We start from the raw sequence: 26,017 nt of genomic DNA on the forward strand, positions 1-26,017 counted from the left end.
AATATTCTTACCTACCCTCTCAAAAAAATGAAAAACAGTAAGAAAGGGGCATAATGAAACTTTTGGAGGCAATAGATATATGTTTATTATCTTGGCTGTGGTGATGGTAAGATGAGCACACATATTTGTCCAAATGCATTAAATTGCACACATTAATTATATGCAGTTTTTAAATATACCAATTATATCTCAATAAAGCTAGGGAAGGCCGATCTAAAAGCTCATTTTTAACACAGCAAACAAATCAAAAGCAAAATAATTGAATTATAGGTTTTTGTAATATTATGTTTTCTTTTTTTTTTTTTTTTTTTAATTTTTTTTTGAGACAGAAAGTCTTGCTCTGTTGCCCAGGCTGGAGTGCAGTGGTGTGACCTCAGCTCACTGCAACCTCCACCTCCTGGGTTTAAGTGATTCTCCTGCCTCAGCCTCCCAAGTAGCTGGGCTTACAGGCACCTGCCACCAAGTCCGACTAATTTTTGTATTTTTTTTTTTTTTTTAGTAGAGACGGGGTTTCACCATGTTGGCCAGGCTGGTCTTGAACTCCTGACCTCAAATGATCCACCTGCCTCAGCCTCCCGAAGTGCTGAGACTACAGGTGTTAGCCACCGTGCCCAGCCATTTTTTTTTTTTATTTTTATAGAGACAAGGTCTCTATAAAAGAGACTAGGTTGCCCAGGCTAGTCTTGAACTCCTGAGCTCAAGCAATCCTCCCGCTTTGGCCTCCCAAAGTGCTGGGACTACAGGCATCAGCCACCATGCCCAGCCTATGCTTTATTTTTCTGATGACACTAAAAAAGAATACTTAATCAAATTATAACAATCTTAAAGAGAGACAAAATAATTTAATATTTTGAATTCTTTGATTTTTGTACCAATTCTGGTCCAAATTCATCGAAAACACTTTCCATCTACCTAGGAAATAAGAAACCCTAGTACTGGTAGATTGTGAAGATTCAAGTGAAAATGTTTTAATATTCTCTTCAGATCAATTTTCATTCATTTATTGTGTTCAAAGGACTGAAAATCTGTACCTCACACAGAGTGTCTGCCAAAAATAATTTAAAAAAATTTTAAAGGCATTACCAAGAGTTGGGTAGTAACATGGTCAGTGCCTAGATAAACACTCTCCTCAATAAAGCCCTAGAAATTCAGTTTGGTTGTTATCTATCATAAACAGTTACTATGTTTATAAATCTTGTAGGTTCTCTAAGATTTCATGTGAGCACAATTTTCCGGGGAATCTACAGGAAGATAGTCTATCATATAAATCATGAACTCCCACAGCTGGCACCAAACTAGACAATTCACTTAACACTTCACATAGACTATAAACTCCTTGATTGCACAGACTGTTCATATGTCTCCTTGTAACCTACACAACATCCAATGTAGTCCTTTGCACACAGTATATACAACCTGAGTTGGCCAGCCTTAGTTCACACTTGATCTTGTAATGCAAAAACTCAGTGGAGGTTTTTTAACAGAAAGGTGAGGTGAAGTAGCTTATTCAGATAAATCTTGATAGATTATCCCAAGCTAAGAAAGGAAAATTCTAATTTGAAGAGAAAGGAACCCTAATATTTGAATATTTCTTTACAGATTAAAGAAGCTATTTATGTGAGCACTCTCACTTAAGTATGAAAAAACTTAAAATGATTATTAAATATTTCATCCTACATCTTACCAAGAAGAAACAAATTTAGAGAGGTAAAATGACTTCTCCAATTTCTTAAAGGGCTCTCTATTCAGTAACTTGGGAGGATTAGGAAAATAAGAAACCCTAGTACTGATGGAAAAGAGGCACAGGCAAGTACAAGTACCTTCAGGTATTATAATCGCCAACCACATTAAGGAATCAGAGAGACTGGCTGGGGGTTAACAACAAAGTCCTTTTCCAATAATTTACAGAAAAATAGAAATTAAACCCTAGAGTTCAGGAATAGCTATTACTTCACCACCATTCCCTATCTAGATAGATTTTTTATCTCAGGGTGATCTTTATAAAATGTAACCTATCTTAATATTAAAATAAACTCAGGACAGAGTTTAACATTACATACTGAAAAGATGTCAAAATAATGAAGTACTAGCAAAGAACACACTGCAAAAGAACTTAAGAGGAAAAAAAATCCAAATATAATAACATCAAAAAGAACATTCAGGAATAAATTTAACAAATGAATGTAAGACTTATACATTGAAAACTCTAAAATCTCATAGAAAGATATAAATAAAGACAATCTATAATCATGGATTGGAAGACTTAATAATGTTAAGATGGCAATATTCCCAAAATTGATCTACAGATCCACTACAATCCTGTTGAAATTACAGCTACCTTTTTTTTTTTTAGACGGAGTCTTGCTCTGTTGCCCAGGCTGGAGTGCAGTGGCCTGAACTCAGCTCACTGCAACCTCCACCTCCCGGGTTCAAGCGATTCTCCTGCCTCAGCCTCTGAGTAGCTGGGACTACAGGCGTGTGCCACCATGCCTGGCTAATTTCTGTATTTTTAGTAGAGACGGAGTTTCACTATGTTGGCCAGGCTGGTCTCAAACTCCTGATCTCATGATATGTCCGCCTCGGCCTCCCAAGGTGCTGGGATTACCGGCGTGAGCCACTGCGCCTGGCCAGCTATCTTTTTTTTAAAAAAAAGATATTGATAAGATAATCCTAAAATTCATATGGAAATTTGTGTGCACTCAGATAGTCAAAATAATCTTGTAAAGAAGAAGTTGGAGGACTCATATTTCATATCTTTTTACAAAGACAAAGTAATCAAGACAGTGTGGTACTGGCATAAGGACATATGTTATCAATCAATGAAAGAGAATTCAGAGTCCAAAAATGTTTATAGCCAACAGATTTTGACAAGGTTGTCAACACAATTCTATAACAAAAGAATAGATTTTTCAACAAATGAAGCTTTGGACAACTGGATATTCAGCTGTAAAGGACTGAAGCTGTACCACTTCTTTTCTTTTCCTTTCTCCCGTCCCGTCCCCTCCCCTCCCCTCCTTTTCTTTTCTTTCTCTTTCTTTTCTCTCTCTCTCTCTCCCTCTCTCCCTCCCTCCCTTTCTCTCTTTCTCTTTCTCTCTCTCTCTCTCTCTCTCTCTCTCTCTCCTTTCTTTCTTGAAAGAGTCTCGCTCTCACCCAGGCTGGAGTGCAGTGGCACAATCTCCACTCACTAGAACCTCTGCCTCCCGGATTCAAGCAATTCTCCTGCCTCAGCCTCCTGAGTAGCTGGGATTACAGGCACGTGCCACCACACCCGGCTAATTTTTTGTATTTTTAGTAGGGACGGGGTTTCACCGTGTTAGCCAGGATGGTCTCCATCTCTTGACCCTGTGATCCTCCCACCTGGGCCTCCCAAAGTGCTGGATTACAGGCGTGAGCCACCACGTCCAGCCCATTTTTTATTTTTTAATGTTTCATAAAGATAGGGGCTCCCTATGTTGCCCAGGGTGGTCTCAAACTCCTGGCATCAAGTGATCCACCTGCCTTGGCCAAAGTGCTGGGATTACAAGTGTGAGCCACCACACCCAGCCTGGACCACTTCTTTACATCACACAAAGAAATTAACCCAAAACTGGACAAAAACATTATAAAAAAGGAAAACTACTGACCAATCTCTTACAAACACAGATTCAAAAATTTGCAACAAAACATTAGCAAACTGATCCAACAATGTATAAAAATACTTATACATCACGAGCAAGTGACATTTATTCCAGGTATGCAAGACTGGTTTAACATTTGTCAATTAATGTAATCCATCACATCAACAAGCTAAGGAAGAAAAACAAACTGATCATATATATAGATGCTGAAAAAGCATTTGGTAAAATTCAAATTTACTTCTTCAGCTTGATAAAGTACAATAAAAAACTCTACAGCTAACATCACATTTAATGGTGAGAAAATAGATGCTACAAAGCAAAATTGTGTAAGATGCAATATGCCAAAAAAAAATAAGGGATGTGAATAGCAAGTATACAGATTGGTACAGAAAAAATAAAACTGTCTTTGCTCGCCAATAACATTACTGCCTGTGAAGAAAACCTCAAGGAATCAACCACAAATAAACAGTTAGAACTAATAAGCAATTATAGTAAAGTTGCAGGATACAAAATTAATGTACAAAAGTCAACTGTATTCTCATATATCAGGAACAATTGGCATTAAAATTAAAACATAATAAGCACCCGCAAAAATGAAATGCTTAGGTATAAATCTAACAAAATATGTACAAGATCTATATCATGAGGCCGGGAGTGATGGCTCATGCCTGTAATCCCAGCACTTGGGGAGGCGGAGGTGGGTGGATCACCTGAGGTCAGGAGTTCAAGACAAACCTGGCCAACACCGTGAAACCCCGTTTCTACTAAAAATACAAAAATTAGCCAGGTGTGGTGGCACACGCCTGTAATCCCAGCTACTTGGGAGACTGAGCCAGGAGAATTGCTTGAACCCAGGAGGCGGAGGTTACAGTGAGCCGAGATTGCGCCAACGTACTCCAGCCTGGGTGACAAAGCAAGACTCCATCTCAAAAAAAAAAAAAAATCTATATGATGAAAACTATAAAACTGTTACCAAAAAAGTCAAGGAAGGTCTAAATAAATGGAAACTTACATCATGTACATGGATAAGAACACTCAATATTAAGATGCCAGTTCTTCCCAACTTGATCTGCAAATTCAATGCAGTATCAATCAGAATCCCAGCAAGTTACATTGCAGATATCAACAAACTGATTCTAAAATTTATATGGAAAGGCAAAAGATTCAGAATAGTCATCACAGTATTGAACAACAGTCAGCCGAATGACAGTACCTGACTTCAAGGCTTTCTATAAAGCTACAGGAATAAAGACAGCATGGTACTGGTGAAAGAAGAGATTACTGGAACAGTAACAGATGGCCCAGAACTAGCAAACAAATATGGTCAACTAAACTTTCACAAAGGAACAAAGCAATTTCAATGGAGAAAGGATAGTCTTTTCAACAAGTAGAGTAGTCTAAACATTTATCCACGGTTTCATTTTCCGTGGATACATTTTCCACAATTTCAGTTAACCACAGTCCAAAAATAATAAATGGAAAATTCCAGGAATAATGAATGAATTTTAAATTGCCATCGTTCTGAGTAGCGTGGTGAAATCTCATGCCATCCCAGTCCCTCCTACCAGGTCATGAATCATCCCTTTGTCTAGCTTGTCCATACTGAACATGTTACCTGCCCATTCATCACATAGCAGCCCTCTCACAGTTAGCAGATCAACTGCAGGGGTTCCAGTAACCCTTGTGTTACTTATCATAATGGTGCCAAAGCACAAGAGTAGTGACACTGTCATATTATTGTTGTTAATCTCTTACTGTGTTGATTTATAAACTTTACTATAGGTATGTATGTATACAAAAATGCAGTATATACAGGTTTTAGTGCCATCTGCAGTTTCTGGAATTCACTGGGAGTCTTGGAATGTATCCTTCTCAGATAAGGGGCGGGGGAAACAATTCAATCTTTTAAAATGGGTAAAAGATTTGAAGAGAAACTTCACCAAAGACAATATACGGATGGCAAATAAATGCGAAAAGATATTCAACACTATTAGTCATTTTAAAAATGCAAATTAAAACTACAATGAAATACCACTATACACCTATTAGAATAGCTAAAATTAAAGAGACTGACTAAACCAAGCCTTGGGATACCCTGCTGGTGAGAATAAAAAACAAAAACGATCAGCCGGGCGCGGTGGCTCACGCCTGTAATCCCAACACTTTGAGAGGCCAAGGCCGGTGGATCACAAGGTCAGGAGTTTGAGACCAGCCTGGCCAACACAGTGAAACCCCGTCTCTACTAAAATTAAAAAAAAAAAAAAAAAAAAAAAATTAGCCGGGCATGGTGGCAGATGCCTGTAATCCCAGCTACTCAGGAGGCTGAGGCAGGAGAATCGCTTGAATCTGGGAGGTAGAGGTTGCAGTGAGCTGAGATCGCGCCACTGCACTCCAGCCCGGGCGACAGTGTGAGACTCCGTTTCAAAAAAACAAACAAACAAACAAAAAAAACAAAAAATAAAAAACAAAAACAATCATCACTTACTGTTCTGGAGCATCATGAAAACTATTTCTGTAAATACTCTGATAGGCTATATTCTTTTTTGTTGTCTAAATGAAAATATCACTTCACTGTTTTGTAGACTTTTCTTAAACAATTAGAATATCTCCCACATTAAGAAGCATATTTTTAAAATAACTGCATAGATTCCACTGTATGATTATATTCTTTTCAGAATAATATCATTAAGGTAAAAGTTTCCATGATATACTGACTTCTCAAAGTTTAATCATTAACTTTCTTATATAAATGACAAATGTCTCCAAAATTCCCCAAATGGATTGAAGTTGAAGCAATCTAGGAAGTTTTGGACCTCAGAATGCTGTAGGTTTTACTTATAGTTTCTCCCCATCCCCATCCAAATTTTAAAACATAAATTTCAAGTATGGGAAGACCAACTTCAGTCAAGATTCAATTTCTGGATTAAAACATCACAAAACTAGAATTTTTAAAAGAAACCAACCATTTTGTAGAATTTTTAAATTTTAAATGTATTAAAACTCCTACAGGTACAGTTTCATTTATACCATAAACATTTACTTATGCTCTAGTAATAATTTGATCATTGCTTTTGACTGGAAGAGTTTTAGGGCAGAATTAGTAAAAGCCCCACAGCTTGCTAACAGAATTTCATTATAGCTTCCATAGTTTTAGTAACTGGCCTTATATATTTGGGTATACATCTCTTCCTAAAAAGTCTGATATAAAACATATTGATACTTAAACTATTTGCAATAATTTTTTTTTTTTTTTTTTTTTTTTTTTTGAGACGGAGTCTCGCTCTGTCGCCCAGGCTGGAGTGCAGTGGCGGGATCTCGGCTCACTGCAAGCTCCGCCTCCCGGGTTCACGCCATTCTCCTGCCTCAGCCTCCCAAGTAGCTGGGACTACAGGCGCCCGCCACTACGCCCGGCTAATTTTTTGTATTTTTAGTAGAGACAGGGTTTCACCGTTTTAGCCGGGATGGTCTCGATCTCCTGACCTCGTGATCCGCCCGCCTCGGCCTCCCAAAGTGCTGGGATTACAGGCGTGAGCCACCGCGCCCGGCCTGCAATAAAATTTTTATAAGGCAATTAAAGTTCCCTAATTTCTTTAAAAATTAAACTTATTTTCTTAACTAAGTTCCCTAATTTCTTCCTAGCCTCCAGAACTGTAAGAAATAAAGGAGATGACCCTCCTTCTGGCTTATGGTCAAGTCACTTAGTAGTCTAAGACTACTTTTATAAAACAACTTTACTAAATGTTTAGTTCTCTTAGCAATAATTAACCAATTTAGGTGTCTATATAGATAGCTGTTATACAGGTAAGAGCTAATAACATTTTACCTCTAACAGAAACTTTATGTAAGAAATTTCAAGGTACAACACAATGAGATTCAAATAAGGTATAAGATAGGCATCATAATAAATGAGATTCAAATAAGGTATATGATAGGCATCATAAGAAATCAAGATGGGCTTCATTTCTTATGATTCCTATCCACAGAAAAAGATTTAGAAGGACCTACAAATTCTATAATGAAAAACAGAATTAAGGGGAGGGGAAAAAAGATAATTTTTATCTATTTTGTTTGTTTGTTTGTTTGTTTTTTTGAGACGGAGTCTCGCTCTGTAGTCCAGCCTGGGGTACAGTGGTGCGATCTCGGCTCACTGCAAGCTTCGCCTCCCAGGTTCACGCCACCCTCCTGCCTCAGCCTCCCGAGTAGCTGGGACTACAGGTGCCTGTCACGAAGCCCAGCTAATTTTTTGTATTTTTAGTAGAGATGGGGTTTCACCAAGTTAGCCGGGATGTTCTCGATCTCCTGACCTCGTGATCCACCTGCCTCGGCCTCCCAAAGCGCTGGAATTACAGGTGTGAGCCACCGCGCCCACCTATTTTTTTCTTTTTACTGTTCTGTGATATGGATTTTTTAAGCAATTATACCTTTTTGCAATTGTAGGACCTATGAAAAACTAGAAGCTTTCAATTGTTTTGTACCATAATATTTTGTTATTAAAAAACAATAACAAAAAACAGTTCTATAGAAGTTAAAAGAGCCACGTTTGTTACAATTGTTTGTCTAAATAATAGTTTTCCTAGGCTTCCAATTTGACTGATGCTTGTCTGTGGTATAATTTAGAAAAAGATCAGTGGATGCCTGGCTCCTCAGAATTCTACACTTTCCAATATTGAGGAACTACTGCTAATCGTAAAAGCTGCCACTAAGTGAGACCTTACTTTGTGCCAGTCATTGGATTAAGCATTTCACATTCATTACCACATTTAATCATTATATTAACCCTAAGTAGTAAGCATTATTACTACTACTACTACTACATTAGTCTCTCCTTACCCGCACTTTCGCTTTCCACAGTTTCAGTTACCTACAGTCAACCACAGTTCCAAAATATTAAATGTAAAATTCCAGTAATAAACTATTCATAAATTTTAAATTGCACACTGTTCTGAGTAGTGTGATGAAATCTCACGCTGTCCTGCTCTATCCCACTAGGAATATAAATCCTCTATTTGTCCAGCACATCCACACTGTATATACTACCTGCCCGTTAGTCATCGGCATTGTCTGCTCTTGACGTCTAACCATGGACATTATTATGGCTCACTGATCTAGGATCATTCACAGCAGATTATTCTCCTACTGGCATATGGTTAGAAGGTCAGTAGTAGCCTAAGGCTATGTCACAAGGCCTATGTCACTCACCTCACTATCTCATCATGTAGGCATTTTATCATCTCACATCATCACAAGAAGAAGGGTGGTTACAGCACAATAAATATTTTGAGAGAGAGGGAGATAATCCACATTCATATAACTTTTTTACAGTATACTGTAATTATATAATTGTTCTATTTTATTATTTTGTTTTAATCACTTACTGTGCCTAATTTGTAAATTAAATTTTATCACAGAACACATGTATAAGAAAAAAATGGTACATATAGGATTCGGTACTATTCATGGTTTTAGGCATCCACTGGGGGTCTTGGAACATACCCCCGAAAGTAAGGGGAAATAACTGTAGTGCTGGAAAAACTGGACAGACACAATTAAAGAAATGAATCTAAGCATAGACCTTATACCTTTCACAAAAATTAACTTGAAATGGATCATAGACTTAACTGTAAAATGAAAAGCTATTAAACTCCTAGAAGATAACAGGAAAAAAATCTAGGTGTCCTTGGGTTTGGTGGTGACTTTTAAAATACAACATAAAAAACACATCCATGAAAGAAAAAATTTGGTAAGTTGAACTTCGTTAAAATTAGAAATGTCTGCTCTGAGGAAGACATGAATGAAAAGTCACACACTCTAGGAAAAGTCTTTGCAAAATACGTATCTGATAAATGACTGTTACCCAAAACATACAAAGAATTCTTAAAACTCAACAATAAGAAAACCAACAACTCAATTAAAATTGGACAAAAGGCTTGCTATGGTCTGAATGTTAGTAGACTAGCCTATCAAACTCATACACTGAAACCTAAGCATCAATGTGATGGTATTAGGAGGTAGGGCTGTTGGGAGGTGATCATGCTATGAGGACTCTGAGATTAATACCCTTATAAAAGATGCCCCAGAAGCCCCAGGACTCTGAGATTAATACCCTTATAAAAGATGCCCCCACGGAAGGACACAGCAAGAAGGCACTATCTATGAACCAGAAAACAAGCCCTCACCAGACACTGAATCTGCCAGTGATCTTACACTTCCCTAGTCTCCATAACCATAAGAAATAAATTTCTGTTACTTATAACCCACCCATGTTTATGGTATTTTAGCTACTTCAATGGACTAAGACAAGACCTGAACAGATACCTCATCAAAAGAGGTAAACAGATGGGAAAATAAAGCATATAAGAAGATGTTCAACATCATATGTCATCAGGGAATTGCAAATTAATACACTGGCATACTACTACTACACACCTATTAGAATGGCTAAAATCCAAAACACTGACATCACCAAAGGACGGTGAGGATGTGGAGCAACAAGAACACTCACTCATTGCTGGTGGGAATACGAAATTATTTTACACAGCCACTTTAGAAGACAGGTTAGCACTTGTTTACAAAACTAAACTTACTCTTACCACAGCAATTGTACTACCTGGTATTTACTCAAATGGACTGAAAATATGACCACATAAAAACCTGCACATGAATGTTTACAGCACCTTTATTCATAATTGTCTAAACTTCAGCTACCCAAACCAAGATGTCCCGCAACAGGTAAATGGATGAACAAATTGTGATATATCCATAAATAAAATATTATTCAGCACTAGAAAGAAATGAGCTATCGGCTGGGCACGGTGGCTGAAGCCTGTAATCCCAGAACTTTGGAAGGCCGAGGCAGGTGGATCACCTGAGGTCAGGAGTTCGAGACCAGCCTGGCCAACATGGTGAAACCCAGTCTCTACTAAAAATACAAAAATTAGCTGGGTGTGGTGGTACACGCCTGTAATCTCAAATACTTGGGAGGCTGGGGCAGGAGAATCGCTTGAACCTGGGAGGCGGAAGTTGCAGTGAGCTAAGATTGTGCCACTGCACTCCAGCCTTGGCACAAGAGCAAAGCTCCAACTCAAAAAAAAAGATATGAGCTATCATATCACAAAGTTATGCAGGCACCTTAAATGCATATTGCTGAGAAAAAAAGCTAATCTGAAAAGGCTATATACTGTATGATTCCAAGAAAAGGCAAAACTATGGAAATAGTAAAAAGATCAACAGTTATCAAGTGTCTTGAAGAAGGGAAAAATGAGTAGGTGTTATTCAGGAAATTTTTAGTGCAGTATTTTGTATGATACTCTAATAGTAGATACATGTCCCTATACAATTGTCAAAACCCACAGACTGTACAACACAAAGAGTGAACCATAAGGCAAACTCTAAACTTTAGTTAATAATAATGTATAAATAATGGTATATTGATTGTCACAAATGTACTACACCAAGGCACCAGTAATATTGGAAACTCTAGAGATGGGGTTGGAATGAGTGTATATATGGCAATTCTCTGTACTTTCCACTCACTTTTCTGTAAAACTACAACTGTTCAAATAGACATTTCTCCCCAAGAAGACATAAAAACCACCAATAAGCACATGAAAAGATATAGAACAGCAGAAAATGCAAATTAATATGTCAATGAGATACCACTTCACACCCACGAGGATGGGTATAATAAAAAACTAGATAATAACAAGTGCTATCAAAGTTGCAGAGAAATTGCAATGCTCATACATTGTTGGGGGATTGCTGCTTTAGAAAATAGGTACAGCTGCTTTAGAAAATAGGTTAATATTTCTTCAAACTGTTAATCATTTAATCACTTTATGGGCCTGTGATTCCATTCCTAGGAACACACTAAAGAGAAATGAAAACCTATTTCCCCACAAAAACTTGACACAAATATTCATAGTAGCATCATTCATAACAGCCAAAAAGTATAAACAATCTAAATGTTCATCAGCTGATGAACAGATAAACCATATGTGGCATGTCCATACAATGGAATATTATTCAGCCATAAAAGGAATGAAGTACTGAGACATGCTACAACAGGAATCAACTTCAAAAATACTATTCTAAGTGAAAGAAGCCAGACACAAAAGATCGTACATTGTGTGATTCCAGGATGGGCAAATCCATAGACAGGTAGTAGATCAGTAGTTTCCAGGGCCTGGGGGAAGGAAAGGATAGGGAGTGACTGCTAATGGGTACACAGTTTCATTTTGAGATGAAAATATTCTGGAATTAGATAGTAGTGATAGTTGCCTAACTCTGTGACTATACTAAAACCAATGAGTTATATCCTTTAAAAGGGTAAATATACATCACATTAATTATATCTCAATAAGGTTGTTATAAATAAATATATCAAGCAGCTGACCACTCCCCACAAAAAAAAAAAAAAAAAAAATAGAAAGGTTTTAGTGAAACTAGTCAAAAGAGTAACTTTAACTCCTGATATTCAATACTGCTTTTGGCCTTACCTCAGATATATATGGGAATTTGAAACAGTATAAACACAAAATAACAGTAAACTCAAAAAAAGTGAGAAAACTTAAAAAGCACATTATGCCTTATATCAAGTTTTATTTCTCCTTCTCTCAAACCACTCAAGACACTGAAAGCCAGAAAGAAGAAATTCAAGTCCACAAATATCAAATATCGTGCCTCCATTTTTTCTCAGTGGAACAATCAAGGAGGCAATAAAACTATATATAATTTTAACAGCAAACTCAATACAGTTCTTCCACATCAATCTTTGTTAATTCCCTGAAAATTCCATTAAAATTTTAAAAATGTATTTAACCTACCTAGGCTCTTCAGAAACTATAAAAGCAGCATAAAACAGTCTGTATCCTTAAGAAACTCTGTATGAAAGTTTTAATGAAACTTTGTATGAAAACCTGCCTCTCAGGTTTCCCACTGCAAGGAACATCATTATCAATGGTCCCAACTGCTGACCTATCAAATCCATTCTCTTGCTGGGGACAGGCAAAGATTCCCAGCCTATATGACTGAGAACAGCAGGCATACTTAATGGAGACCTTTTCCCAGGAAAAACTGAACTCCTCTGACTTGGTAACTTTGGTTTGAGGACTCCCATTGCCATGCTGTTACTTTCTTAGAGCTGTACTGGCAATGTAACACTTTTCCTATCCAACTTGTAGCTGTCCTTCCCTTTTCTTCCACCTAATTATAGCCTCCACTTGAAAACTACAAATTTCCATGACTTAAAGAACAGTGCTACACATAGCACAAAGATTACTATTTCTTTCAAGTTTCTATCGGTTTTATCAGCAAATAGATTTTTTACAAGTGACTTAAATGGCTATATAAAATACTAATAATTAGGTGCCTGAAAACAGAATTACCAAATTTAAGAGAGTATAAAACCAATAGGGGGAAAAAATTTGACGTATAGCAGTGTGTAGTAACTTACAACCTTAAGAATAAAAACAAAGAGTTTAGTTATAAGGAGTTTTAAAACTTAGAAAATGTTGTCATAAAACTTTGTTCCATTTGATTCACAAAACACTGAAGAAGAGAAAAAAGGCAGCACAATAATGTTTACTGAGTTCCTTTATGTACCAAACACTGGGCTGGGCATTGCTGTATTAGTACCGTCCCCATTTTACAGGCAGTGAAATTGAGGGTCATAAATTTCACAGATGACAGAGCAGGAACATCACCATCTTGAACAAGCCCCTCATTCTAAAATTCACCTTAATAAGAAACTGCCTAAATCCAAAGGGCATCCCCCTAATGGCTAAGGTCAGCATGACCATAAACCACAAACAACATCACCAACCTGAAACATTCCAAACTCCTCCCAGATCAGAGACATACTAGCCTCAAAATAAACCCCTCTCTGGGCCGGAAAGATGTCTGCCCCAAGATAACCTCCCCTCCTCCCAAAGAGATTCCAACCCCGCCATAAAATTCTCCACACACATAAATATTCCAAGCTTGTGATAAGCCCCCTCGCCCTAAAACCAATATATATTCTTAGTCTGTAAAAGGAAACACTTCTTAACGAAATCGGCCAGGAGTGCCTCTCAGGTTTTGTCTAAAATAAACCTGTCTTTAACTGCCAGCCGCGTTTTGTGTTTCTTTCCTTTCTTTAACTCTTACATTTGGTGCCCAAACCCGGGATGAGTGCTGGGGGCAGAGGCTCTCTTGCAACCCAGGAAGCAGTGGGCAACAGCAGCTCATCTTGAGTTAATTCCTGGATCCTGAGGGTCTCTGGCCACATGCCCCATCTTTTCTCTCACTTCACTTTTCCCTCATCCTCCCTTTTTTTTTCTTCCTCTCTCTCTCTCCCTCGTGCGGCTGCAGTCCAGGAGGCCCTTTGCCAAATCCAACCGGAACATCCAACATTGGACACTAATCCAGCCAACTGGTAAGATCTGCCGTCCCCTGGCTTTCTTGCAGTACCCAGGAAAAGTCAGGTCAGCCATCCCGGTCCTCAGAGGACCAGCAGGACTAAGCTAGAGGAAATCTTGGGGATGCCCAGTTTCTTCTCAGCTTGATGACTGTCCTCTTCAGAAAGACGATTCCGGACTTCTGTCTTTTGTCTGGGGATGCCTAGAACAAAAACAGACACCCTCGGCTTCTTCTCACCAGTCCACATGGGTGCCAAACAATTCCACATTCCTACGGTCTCTCCACTGTGCTGTCTCCTTCATGACCTCGCCAAAGTTGGCTTAAGTGTTTAGTCTTTTACTGTAACACAGCCTGGCCCCAAAACACATTAGATAATGGCAGCCCATGGTCCGAAAATGGCATCTTTAACTTGCAAATTCTCAGGAACTTCACAACTTTATGACCAGGAATGGCAAATGGCAAGAGGTTCTCTATATTCAGGCCTTCTTCTACTTCTACCTTAAATCCCAACCCTACCTGTGTCAAGCTTGTACCTCTTATAAAATCTTTCTTCTTATTAAAAACCCTCTCCGGGTCTCTCCTTCCTCCGAAACTCCTTTTGACCCTGCAGATGAACCCTCTCTGTATTCTTATCCCCCTGCATCTGCTCCTAGCCTGTCCAAACCCTCCACCCTGGTGGCCCTACCTGCCTCCAAGCCTTCAGCCCCAAACCCCACTCCTCCTCCTCCTCCACCTGTTACCCATTCAAAAACCACCTCTGCCATTCTCCCTCTCTGGGAAGTGGCTGGAGTTAAAGGCACTGCTCATGTTCATGTCTCTTTCTCCATGTCTGACTTGTCACAGATCAAAACTATGAGTATATTCAAAAGGTCTTTATAGTTTTCTCTTCATCAATCTTATTTTCCTGGAAAAGGTTTTCCCCCAGTTAACTCAATTACTTTTCTTCACTGTGTCTTGCAACTCTTGGTGCATATGTAAAAAACCCTAAAATGACTTCTGGTGCCCTGGGATTCCTTTGGAAAAGAGAAAAGGCACCACAAATCCCATTTTGGGGAAAAATCTGTTTTCCTTATGGAAACCGTGGAATTAGAGGTAAATAAGTACCTCTCAAAATCTTTGTATTTGTCTTCCAGCTATACCTGTTTATTAGACCCTGGAAACTGTTTTCCTAGTCCTGTTCTTCAAGGGCCTCACCTGAAGGTCAATAATCCAATTGGGAAATTAGCAGAGAGAAAAAAAAAACGTTATAGCTACTGAATCTTCTTCTGGTTGTCTGTGTGGCTATATATGTGTTGTCTGTGCAATGTCTATTAAAAGAGCTCTAATTAATTGGCCTAAGAAAACTAAGCACTTAAATCAAATATTTTTAAGGGAAAAGTAAAAGCTGTGGGACCTTTCAGTTCACGTGACCTTAATCTTTAAATCTTACTGGTACACTAAAGTTAGAAGTATCTTAAAAGTTGCCAGCATACCTTTTTGTTTGCATTTGTTAATCAGGCAAATTCATACTTTTCTCGGCCAAATACTGTAAGGTGTCAACATTTTGCATAGAGGCTGCAAAACTAACTCAGCCCAAACAAAATCATCTTTGCTTGTGTCATTTTTTTTTTTAAGACAGAGTTTCGCTCTTGTTGCCCAGGCTGAAGTACAATAGCACAATCTCAGCTCACCACAACCTCTGCCTCATGGGTTCAAGCCATTCTCCTGCCTCTGCCTCCCAAGTAGCTGGGATTACAGGCATGTGCCACCACGCCCGGGGAATTTTTTGTATTTTTAGTAGAGATGGGGTTTCTCCAAGTTGGTCAGGCTAGTCTCAAACTCCCAACCTCAGGTAACCCACCCGTCTTGGCCTCCCAAAGTGCTGGCATTACAGGCGTGAGACACCGCACCCAGCCTTGTGTAATTTTTTAATAAATGAAATATTAATATTGGTTTAATGAAGATAGCTGTATCTTAAACTATTTAGTAAAATATCTTAGCTTCTAATCTTGTGGCTTAGGCAGTCTAGTCCACAAACATGAAGGAAGTTTGCTTTGGGAAAGAATGGTTATCATCTGTGACATTAAAGAAAGGAGAAGTTATGGAAAAAGAATCTTATATGGTAAATTCTTGTCCTAAGTTAACTGGTTGTTTAAAGAAAGAGATGTTTACAAGTCAGAAAGTTGAGGCATGTCAAGGATTGTCTGTGAAAGTCATGAAAAATGTTATAAAAGGGAATTTATACAAGAAATGTTGTATAATTTAAAAGTAATTAGGCCTCCTGAATGCTTTATAAAATGTCACTGTAACTCTTAGCTGGACAACTGGCCTGCTTTGCAGCTAGGTAAAACCTACGACACGTGGAGTTAAATGCTAGAACATTTAACTGCACTTCTTTCTAGGTCCTGGGCTCTACACCTAGCACATAATTAAAATCCCAAACTTACAAGGTTTTCAACAAAAGTAAAGTTTACTAAAAGTTAACAGCGTAGCCAAGATGGCCGAATAGGAACAGCTCCTGTCTGCAGCTCCCAGCATGATCGACGCAGAAGACGGCTAATTTCTGTATTTCCAACTGAGGTACCTGGTTCATCTCATTGGGAATGGTTGGACAGTGGGTGCAGCCCATGGAGGGCAAGCTGAAGCAGGGTGGGGCGTTGCATCACCCACAAAGCGCAAGGAGTCGGGGGTTTCCCTTTCCTAGCCAAGGGAAGCCATGACAGACTACCTGGAAAAATGGGAAACTACCCACCCAAATACTGCACTTTTCCCAAGGTCTTAGCACCCGCTGACAAGATGATTCTCTCCCGTGCCTGGCTCGGCGGGTCCCACGCCCACGGAGCCTTGCTCACTGCTAGCGCAGTAGTCTGAGATCGATCTGTCAGGCGGCAGCCTGGCTGGGGAAGGGTGTCTGCCATTGCTGAGGCTTGAGTAGGTAAAAAAAGTGGCCGGGAAGCTCGAACTGGGCAGAGCCCACCACAGCTCAACAACACCTACAGCCTCTAGACTCCACCTCTGTGGGCAAGGCATAGCTGAATAAAAGGCAGCAGACAACTTCTGCAGACATAAACGTCCCTATCTGACAGCTCTGAAGAGAGCAGTGGTTCCTCCCAGCACGGCATTTGAGCTCTGAGAACAGACAGACTGCCTCCACAAGTGGGTCCCTGACCCCCGTATAGCCTAACTGGGAGATACCTCCCAGTAGGGGCCAACAGACACCTCATATAGGCAGCTGCCCCGCTGTGACGAAGCTTCCAGAGGAAGATCAGGCAGCAATATTTGCTGTTCTGCAGTATTTGTTGTTCTGCAGCCTCTGCTGGTGATACACAGGCAACCAGGGTCTGGAGTGGAACTCCAGCAAACTCCAACAGACCTGCAGCTGAGGGATCTGTTAGAAGGAAAACAAACAAACAGAAAGGAATAGCATCAACATCAACAAAAAGGACATCTACACCAAAACCCCATCTGTAGGTCACCAACATCAAAGAACGAAGGTAGATAAAACCACAAAGATGAGGAGAACCAGAGCAGAAAAGCTGAAAATTCTAAAATCAGAGCACCTCTTCACCTCCAAAGGATGGCAGCTCCTCGCCAGCAACAGAAAAAAAGCTGGAAGGAGAATGACTTTGACGAGTTGACAGAAGTAGGCTTCATAAGGTCGGTAATAACAGACTTCTCCGAGTTAAAGGAGAATGTTCAAACCCATCGCAAGGAAGCTAATAACCTTGAAAAAAGATTAGACTAATGGCTAACTAGAATAAACAGTGTAGAGAAGACATTAAATAAACTGATGGAGCTGAAAATCATGGCACAAGAACGTCATGACATATGCACAAGCTTCAATAGCTGATTCGATCAAGTGGAAGAAAGGGTATCAGTCACTGAAGATCATATTAATGAAATAAAGCGAGAAGGTTAGAGAAAAAAGACTGAAAAGAAATGAATAAAGCCTCCAAGAAATATGGGACTATGTGAAAAGACCAAATCTACGTTTGATTGGTGTAGAAAGTGATGGGGAGAAGGGAACCAAGTTGGAAAACACTCTGCAGGATATTATCCAGGAGAACTTCCCTAACCTAGGAAGGCAGGCCAACATCCAAATTCAGGAAATAGAGAGAACACCACAAAGATACTCCAAGAGAAGAGCAACCCCAAGACACATAATTGACAGATTCACCAAGGTTGAAATGAAGGAAAAACTGTTAAGGGCAGCCATAGAGAAAGGTCGAGTTAATCACAATCGGAAGGCCATCAGACTAACAGTGGATCTCTCGGCAGAAACCCTACAAGCCAGAAGAAAGTGGAGGCCAATATTCAAAATTCTTAAAGAAGAATTTTCAACCCAGAATCTCATATCCAGCCAAACTAAGCTTCATAAGTGAAGGAGAAATAAAATCCTTTACAGACAAGCAAATGCTGAGAGACTTTGTCACCACCAGGCCTGCCTTACAAGAGCTCCTGAAGGAGGAACTAAACATGGAAAGGAACAACTGGTACCAGCTACTGCAAAAACATGCCAAATTGTAAAGACCACTGATGCTATGAAGAAACTGCATCAATTAATGGGCAAAATAACCAGCGAACATCATAATGACAGGAACAAATTCATATATAGCAATATTAACCTTAAATGTAAACAGGCTAAATGCCCCAATTAAAAGACACAGATTGGCAAATTGGATAAAGAGTCAAGACCCATCAGTGTGCTGTATTCAGGAGACCCATCTCATATGCAAAGACGCACACAGACTCAAAATAAAGAGATGGAGGAAGATTTACCAAGCAAATGGAGAGAAAAAAAAAAAAGCAGGGGTTGCAATCCTAGTCTCTGATAAAACAGACTTTAAACCAACAAAGATCAAAGAGACAAAGAAAGCCATTACATGATGGTAAAGGAGTCAATTCAACAAGAAGAGCTAACTATCCTAAAGATATATGCACCCAATACAGGAGCACCCAGATTCATAAAGCAAGTCCTTGGAGACCTACAAAGAGACTTAGACTCCTACACAATAATAATGGGAGACTTTAACACCCCACTGTCAACATTAGAAAGATCAACTACAAAAGGTTAACAAGCATATCCAGGACCTGAACTCAGCTCTGCAACAAGCAGACCTAATAGACATCTACAGAACTCTCCACCCAAAATCAACAGAATATACATTCTTCTCAGCACCACACTGCACTTATTCTACAACTGACCACATAATTGGAAGTAAAGCACTCCTCAGCAAATGTAAAAGGACAGAAAGCACAACAAACTGTCTCATAGACCACAGTGCAATAAAATTAGAACTCAGGATTAAGAAACTCACTCAAAACTGCACAACTGCATGGAAACTGAACAACTTGCTCCTGAATGACTACTGGGTACATAATAAAATGAAGGCAGAAATAAAGATATTCTCTGAAACCAATGAGAACAAAGACACAACATACCAGAATCTCTGGAACACATTTAAAGCAGTGTGTAGAGGGAAATTTATAGCACTAAATGGCCACAAGATAAAGCAGCAAAGATCTAAAATTGACACCCTAACATCACAATTAAAAGAACTAGACAAGCAAAAGCAAACAAATTCAAAAGCTAGCAAAAGGCAAGAAATAACTAAGATCAGAGCAGAACTGAAGGAGATAGAGACACAGAAAAACCTTAAAAAAAAAAAAAAATCAATGAATCCAGGAGCTGGTTTTTTGAAAAGATCAACAAAATTGATAGACCGGTAGCAAGATTAATAAAGAAGAAAAGAGAGAAGAATCAAATATACGCAATAAAAAATGATAAAGGGGATATCACCACCGATCCCACAGAAATACAAACTACCATCAGAGAATACTATAAACACCTCTATGCAAATAAACTAGAAAATCAAGAAGAAACAGATAAATTCCTGGACACATACACCCTCCCAAGAATAAACCAGGAAGAAGTTGAATCTCTGAATAGACCAATAACAGGCTCTGAAATTGAGGCAATGATTAATAGTCTACCAACCAAAAAAAGTCCAGGACCAGAGGTACAAAGAGGAGCTGGCACCATTCCTTCTGAAACTATTTCAATCAATAGAAAAAGAGGGGATCCACCCTGACTCATTTTATGAGGCCAACATCATCCTGATACCAAAACCTGGCAGAGACACAACAAAAAAAGGAGAATTTTAGACCAATATCCCTGATGAACATTGATGCAAAAATCCTCAATAAAATATTGGCAAATTGAATCCAGCAGCACATCAAAAAGCTTATCCACCACGATCCAGCAGGCTTCATCCCTGGAATGCAAGGCTGGTTCAACATATGCAAATCAACAAACGTAATCCATCACATAAACAGAACCAAAGACAAAAACCACATGATTATCTCAATAGATGCAGAAAAGGCCTTCGACAAAATTCAACAGCCCCTCATGCTAAAATTCTCAATAAACGAGGTATTGATGGAACGTATCTCAAAATAAGAGCTATTTATGACAAACTCACAATCAATATCATACTGAATGGGCAAAAACTGGAAGCATTCCCTTTGAAAACCAACACAAGACAAGGATGCCCTCTCTCACCAGTCCTATTCAACATAGTGTTGGAAGTTCTGGTCAGGGCAATCAGGCAAGAGAAAGAAATAAAGGGCATTCAATTAGGAAACAAGGAAGTCAAATTGTCCCTGTTTGCAGATGACATGATTGTATATTTGGAAAACTCCACCGTCTCAGCCCAAAATCTCAAGCTGATAACCAACTTCAGCAAAGTCTCAGGATACAAAATCAACGTGCAAAAATCACAAGCATTCCTAGACACCAATAACAGACCAACAGAGAGCCAAATCATGAGTGAACTCCCATTCACAATTGCTACAAAGAGAATTAAATACCTAGGAATACAACTTACAAAGAATGTGAAGGACCTCTTCAAGAATAACTACAAACCACTGCTCAACGAAATAAAAGAGGACATAAACAAATGGAAGAATATTCCATGCTCATGGATAGGAAAAATCAATATGGTGAAAACGGCCATACTGCCCAAAGTAATTTATAGATTCAATGTCATCCCCATGAAGCTACCAATGACTTTCTTCACAGAATTGGAAAAAACTACTTTAAACTTCATATTGAATCAAAAAAGAGCCTGAATTGCCAATACAATCCTAAGCAAAAAGAACAAAGCTAGAGGCATCATGCTACCTGACTTCAAACTATACTACAAGGCTACAGTCACCAAAACAGCATAGTACTGGTACCAAAACAGATATATAGACCAATGGAACAGAAGAGAGCCCTCAGAAATAATACCACACATCTACAACCATCTGATCTTTGACAAACCTGAGAAAAACAAGAAATGGGGAAAGGATTCCCTATTTAATAAATGGTGCTGGGAAAACTAGCTAGCCATATGCAGAAAACTGAAACTGGACCCCTTCCTTACACCTTATAGAAAAATTAATTCATGATGGATAAAAGACTTAAATATTAGACCTAAAACCATAAAAACCCTAGAAGAAAACCTAGGCAATATCATTCAGGACATAGTTATGGGCAAGGACTTCATGACTAAAATACCAAAAGCAATGGCAACAAAAGCCAAAATAGACAAATGGGATCAATTAAACTGAAGAACTTCTGCACGGTGAAAGAAACTACCATCAGAATGAACAGGCAACCTACAGAATGGGAGAAAATTTTTGCAATCTATCCATCTGACAAAGGGCTAATATCCAGAATCTACAAATAACTCAAACAAATTTACAAAAAAAAAAACAACCCCCATCATAAAGTGGGCAACAGATATGAACAGAAACTTGTCAAAAGAAGACATCTATGCAGCCAACAGACACACGAAAAAATGCTCATCATCACTGGTCATCAGAGAAACACAAATCAAAACCACAATGAGATACCATCTCACGCCAGTTAGAATGGCGGTCGTTAAAAAGTCAGGAAACAACAGATGCTGGAGAGGATGTGGAGAAACTGGAATGCTTATACACTGTTGGTGGCAGTGTAAATTGGTTTAACCATTGTGGAAGACAGTATGGGGATTCCTCAAGGATCTAGAACTAGAATTACCATTTGACCCAGCAATCCCATTACTGGGTATATACCCAAAGGATTATAAATCATGCTACTATAAAGACACATGCACACGTTTGTTTATTGTGGCACTATTCACAAGACTTGGAACCAACGCAAATGTCCATCAATGATAGACTGGATTAAGAAAATGTGGCACATATACAGCATGGAATACTATGCAGCCATAAAAAAGGATGAGTTCCTGTCCTTTGCAGGGACACAGATGAAGCTAGAAACCATCCTTCTCAGCAAACTATCACAAGGACCTAAAACCAAAGACCGCATGTTCTCACTCACAGGTGGGAATTGAACAATGAGATCACTTGGACACAGGGCAGGGAACATCACACACTGGGGACTGTAAGGGGATGAGGGACTGCGGGGAGGGATAGCATTAGGAGAAATACCTAATGTAAATGATGAGTTGATGGGTGCAGCAAACCAACATGGCACATGTATACCTATGTATCAAACCTGTACGTTGTGCACATGTACCCTAGAACTTAAAGTATAATAATAAAAGTTAATGGTGTAACATGTATTTAAAGCTATTGAAAAAACAGTTTATATGCAAGGTGTGTAAGGAAAGTAAAATATACTTTTCGTAAAAGGATTATAAGGAGGCATAAGAATGTGGATTTTTACCTACATTAAAAAGTTAAAAAATTGTTTTGAAGGTTTAAGCAAGTTTTGAAACGTTAATTATAAAGGAAATTCTGTGTGTAAACATATTGGTAAAGTTAAAGGGGTATCATCCAGTTTTTCTGTAAATTGGGCATTAAAACAAAAGCACAATGGGTTTTTCTTAAAGCACTAACCTGTTCTTTAACAAAACTTATAAAGCATTAAAAAAAGTCTATAAAAATCTTACCTTATGGTCAGATATTAAAATTGGATAAATATGCCTACAAGGTCTTATTAAAATTGAGTTTAACATTAATAGCACACTAATAGAAAGGTGAAATTTAGCTTATCTGGTATAAAATCATACAAGAAGCATTGTCAAATATAAAACGGTATTTGGCTTTCTTTGGTCTATATTTGTATGTTACTCATATGTGTTCCAAAGTTATGGAAGACTCCTATAATTCTGATATATATTAGTGTACATTTTCAGTAATAATTACAATCGTTATGTTAAAATTATTGTGTGTCATCCTTGTCAATTGTGTCTTTATGGCTACCCTAAAACTTTTTGTCATCCATAAACAATTGTTGCCTTGTTTTGGTCCTCTTTAAAAGGTGGTTTTATAATCAGCTATAAAGCTCTAACAGGTGCTCTTAAATGCAGGTTTCTGATAACACTGGAGACTGTAACATCAGAATAGAGGAAAAACGTTCAGGACTTTTGAAGAGATAAAATGTTAATATTGAGCATGACAGGAATTAATTCCATGAACTAAACTAACAGGAGACCAATCTTTTTAATGTTTTAACATATTGCTAATCCTTTGTTTTGCTTTTCAAAGTCAAAGAAATTTTTCTTTTGAGCTATTAACAGCTTTTAACAATTTACTATACTACCATGAACAAAATTTGGAACATACTTGTTTCTCTCTACCTGATTTTCTCCATAATTTTGAAACTATCTGTGAGTATTCTTAAGTTACAGTACTTGCATAAGTGCACTAAAAATCTGTTTTCTTTTGTAACAGGACAGAATTGGAAAAACTGGTTATTTTTACAAAGGCTTTAACTGGAATAATATGCTTTCCTTTAAGGAACCATACTTACAAAGGCAAAAATGCCCTTGGAAAACTGGCCTCATATTTTGTGTACACAGTCCCTGTACAGGGTTTCTGGTCTATGGTAAGTAAAGAATGTCACTTTCTAGCAGACCAGGAATACCAAGTTATCTTGGGACCTCAAGAGGAAAGAAATTCACCAACTCATAGATATTTGATAGTACAAATCCAGGGCTGGGCTTGGCTAAAACGGTTTTCTCTCAGATTCCTTCTACAGAACAAAGTTCCATCAAAGCCAATTTAAAAGGCCTATGTAACAAATAATTATTCTTGCTGCACTGTATGCAAATAATTAAGCCAAGTATAATAAAGCAAACCATTCCTACCATGATTTGTCTTTTAATAAAAATGGGAAACTGGAAAAAGAAAATTATATTTAAAAAACCATAGCACACCTGTTGTTAAATTCTAGTGTTGCCTAACATTTTTCAGTTTTTATTATTTTCTACTGCTTAAATTAAATTCTAATTTTTCTGGCTACAAGTTTCCAAAATAAGTCGGGCTTTCTTAAAGCCCTATAAACTGAAAACTAGATGTTTCAGCAGACGCTGCCTCTAAGCTCCCCGACCATCACAGAAGGAAATCTCTTCACTGCTGGTGCTGACAACTAATAACTGAGGGTGCCCAGAATCCTTCACCCCCATGTCTAGTGAATCCACGGAACCCAGGGTAATTAAAATGGTACCTGTTACAGGAATCAACTCCTAAATACATCACACTCAAGTCAAAGCCTGGAAAGCTAAGGAAGCAACCCCTGACAGCCCCCAAAAGTCATAAATATCAATGTAAAGAAATAAGAAATCTTGCTAGGTGAAGTAGCTCACGCCTGTAATCCCAGCATTTTGGGAGGCTGAGGCACATGTATCACCTGAAGCCAGGAGTTCAAGACCACCCTGACCAACAAGGTGAAACCCCATCTCTACTTAAAAAATACAAAAATTAGCCGGGCGTACAGGCAGGCGCCTGTAGTCCCAAGCTACTCGGGGGCTGAGACAGGAGAACTGCTTGAACCTGGGAGTTGGAGGTTGCATTGAGCTGAGATTGCGCCACTGTACTCCAGTCTGGGTGACGGAGCAAGAGTCTGACTCCAAAAAAAAAAAAAAGGAAATAAAAAGCTAAGGAAATATCTAAACAACCAAACAGATTCTTGGTTTGGAAACAAAATCATAGCATGTGTCATCCCATTCCTGAGCCCCCTTCTAATAATATGCCTGGGACTAATGTTCTTACCCTGCCCAATTAACCTTTTTCAAAGATTTTTATCTGACAGGATCATGGCCATTTCACAGACAACTACCCAAAAACATCTACAGATGTCATTGCTCCTACAGTCAACCTGAGACCAGAAAACTCTCCATCCCCTAGTCAGCAGGAAGTAGCCAGAAGAACACGCCGTCCCTCCTCAAATTATAGGGTCTGGATTGACAGAGTAGGAGCATCGCCATCTTGGACAAGCCCCTCATTCTAAAATTCACCTTAATAAAAAACTGCCTAAATTCAAAGGGCATCAGCCTAATGGCTAAGGTCAGCATGACCATAAACCACAAATAACATCTCCAACCAGAAACATTCCAAACTCCTCCCTGACCAGAGACATGCTAGCCCCGAAATAAACCCCGCTCCAGTTGGAAAGATGCTAGCCCCGAGATAACACCCCTCCTGGCCGGAAAGATGTCTGCCCCAAGATAACCTCCCCTCCTCCCAGAGAGATTCTAACCCCACCATAAACTTCTCCACACACATAAACATTCCAATCTTGTGATAAGCCCCCTCACCCTAAAACCAATATATACTCTTAGTCTGTAAGAGAAAGCGCTCCTGATCAAAATCAGCCAGGAGCACCTCTCAGGTTTTGTCTAAAGTGAACTTGTCTTTAACTGCCAGCCACATTTCGTGTTTCTTTCCTCTTTCTTTAACTCTTACAATAGATATGCTCAAGCTTTCAAAATTATTAAGTAAGACCAAAATCTTCCTCTGGCACTGTCTCCAGAATATATTCAGAGAATACTCATATCCTTAAGGATCAAAAACAGACATCATCTTTCCTCATTCTCCAAAATGCTATAAAAGCAGGTATTAAAATGGTATTAAGCCAAGCGCGGTGGCCCACAATTGTAATCCCAGCACTTTGGGAGACTGAGGTGGGTGGATCACCTGAGGTCAGGAGTTCGAGACCAGCCTGACCAACATGGTGAAACCCCATCTCT

The 26,017-nt window shown here is 38.8% G+C and overlaps 1 protein-coding gene across 4 annotated transcripts in view, besides 1 other annotated feature; it reads right to left on the reverse strand.

The window, feature by feature from the left end:
* Positions 1–26,017, reverse strand: part of GSK3B (glycogen synthase kinase 3 beta) — a 273,127-nt gene that overhangs the window by 143,426 nt on the left and 103,684 nt on the right. The window lies entirely within an intron of this gene.
* Positions 7,684–7,901: a silencer, noted in NCBI's record as "fragment chr3:119691277-119691494 (GRCh37/hg19 assembly coordinates)". NCBI's record gives its function as "represses an EF-1alpha promoter that drives an FKBP-Casp9 reporter gene in an ReSE screen in HepG2 liver carcinoma cells {active_cell/tissue: HepG2}" and the evidence as "EXISTENCE:reporter gene assay evidence [ECO:0000049][PMID:32094911]".

Source organism: Homo sapiens, chromosome 3 (assembly GCF_000001405.40).
Source record: "Homo sapiens chromosome 3, GRCh38.p14 Primary Assembly".
Lineage (NCBI taxonomy): Eukaryota > Metazoa > Chordata > Mammalia > Primates > Hominidae > Homo > Homo sapiens.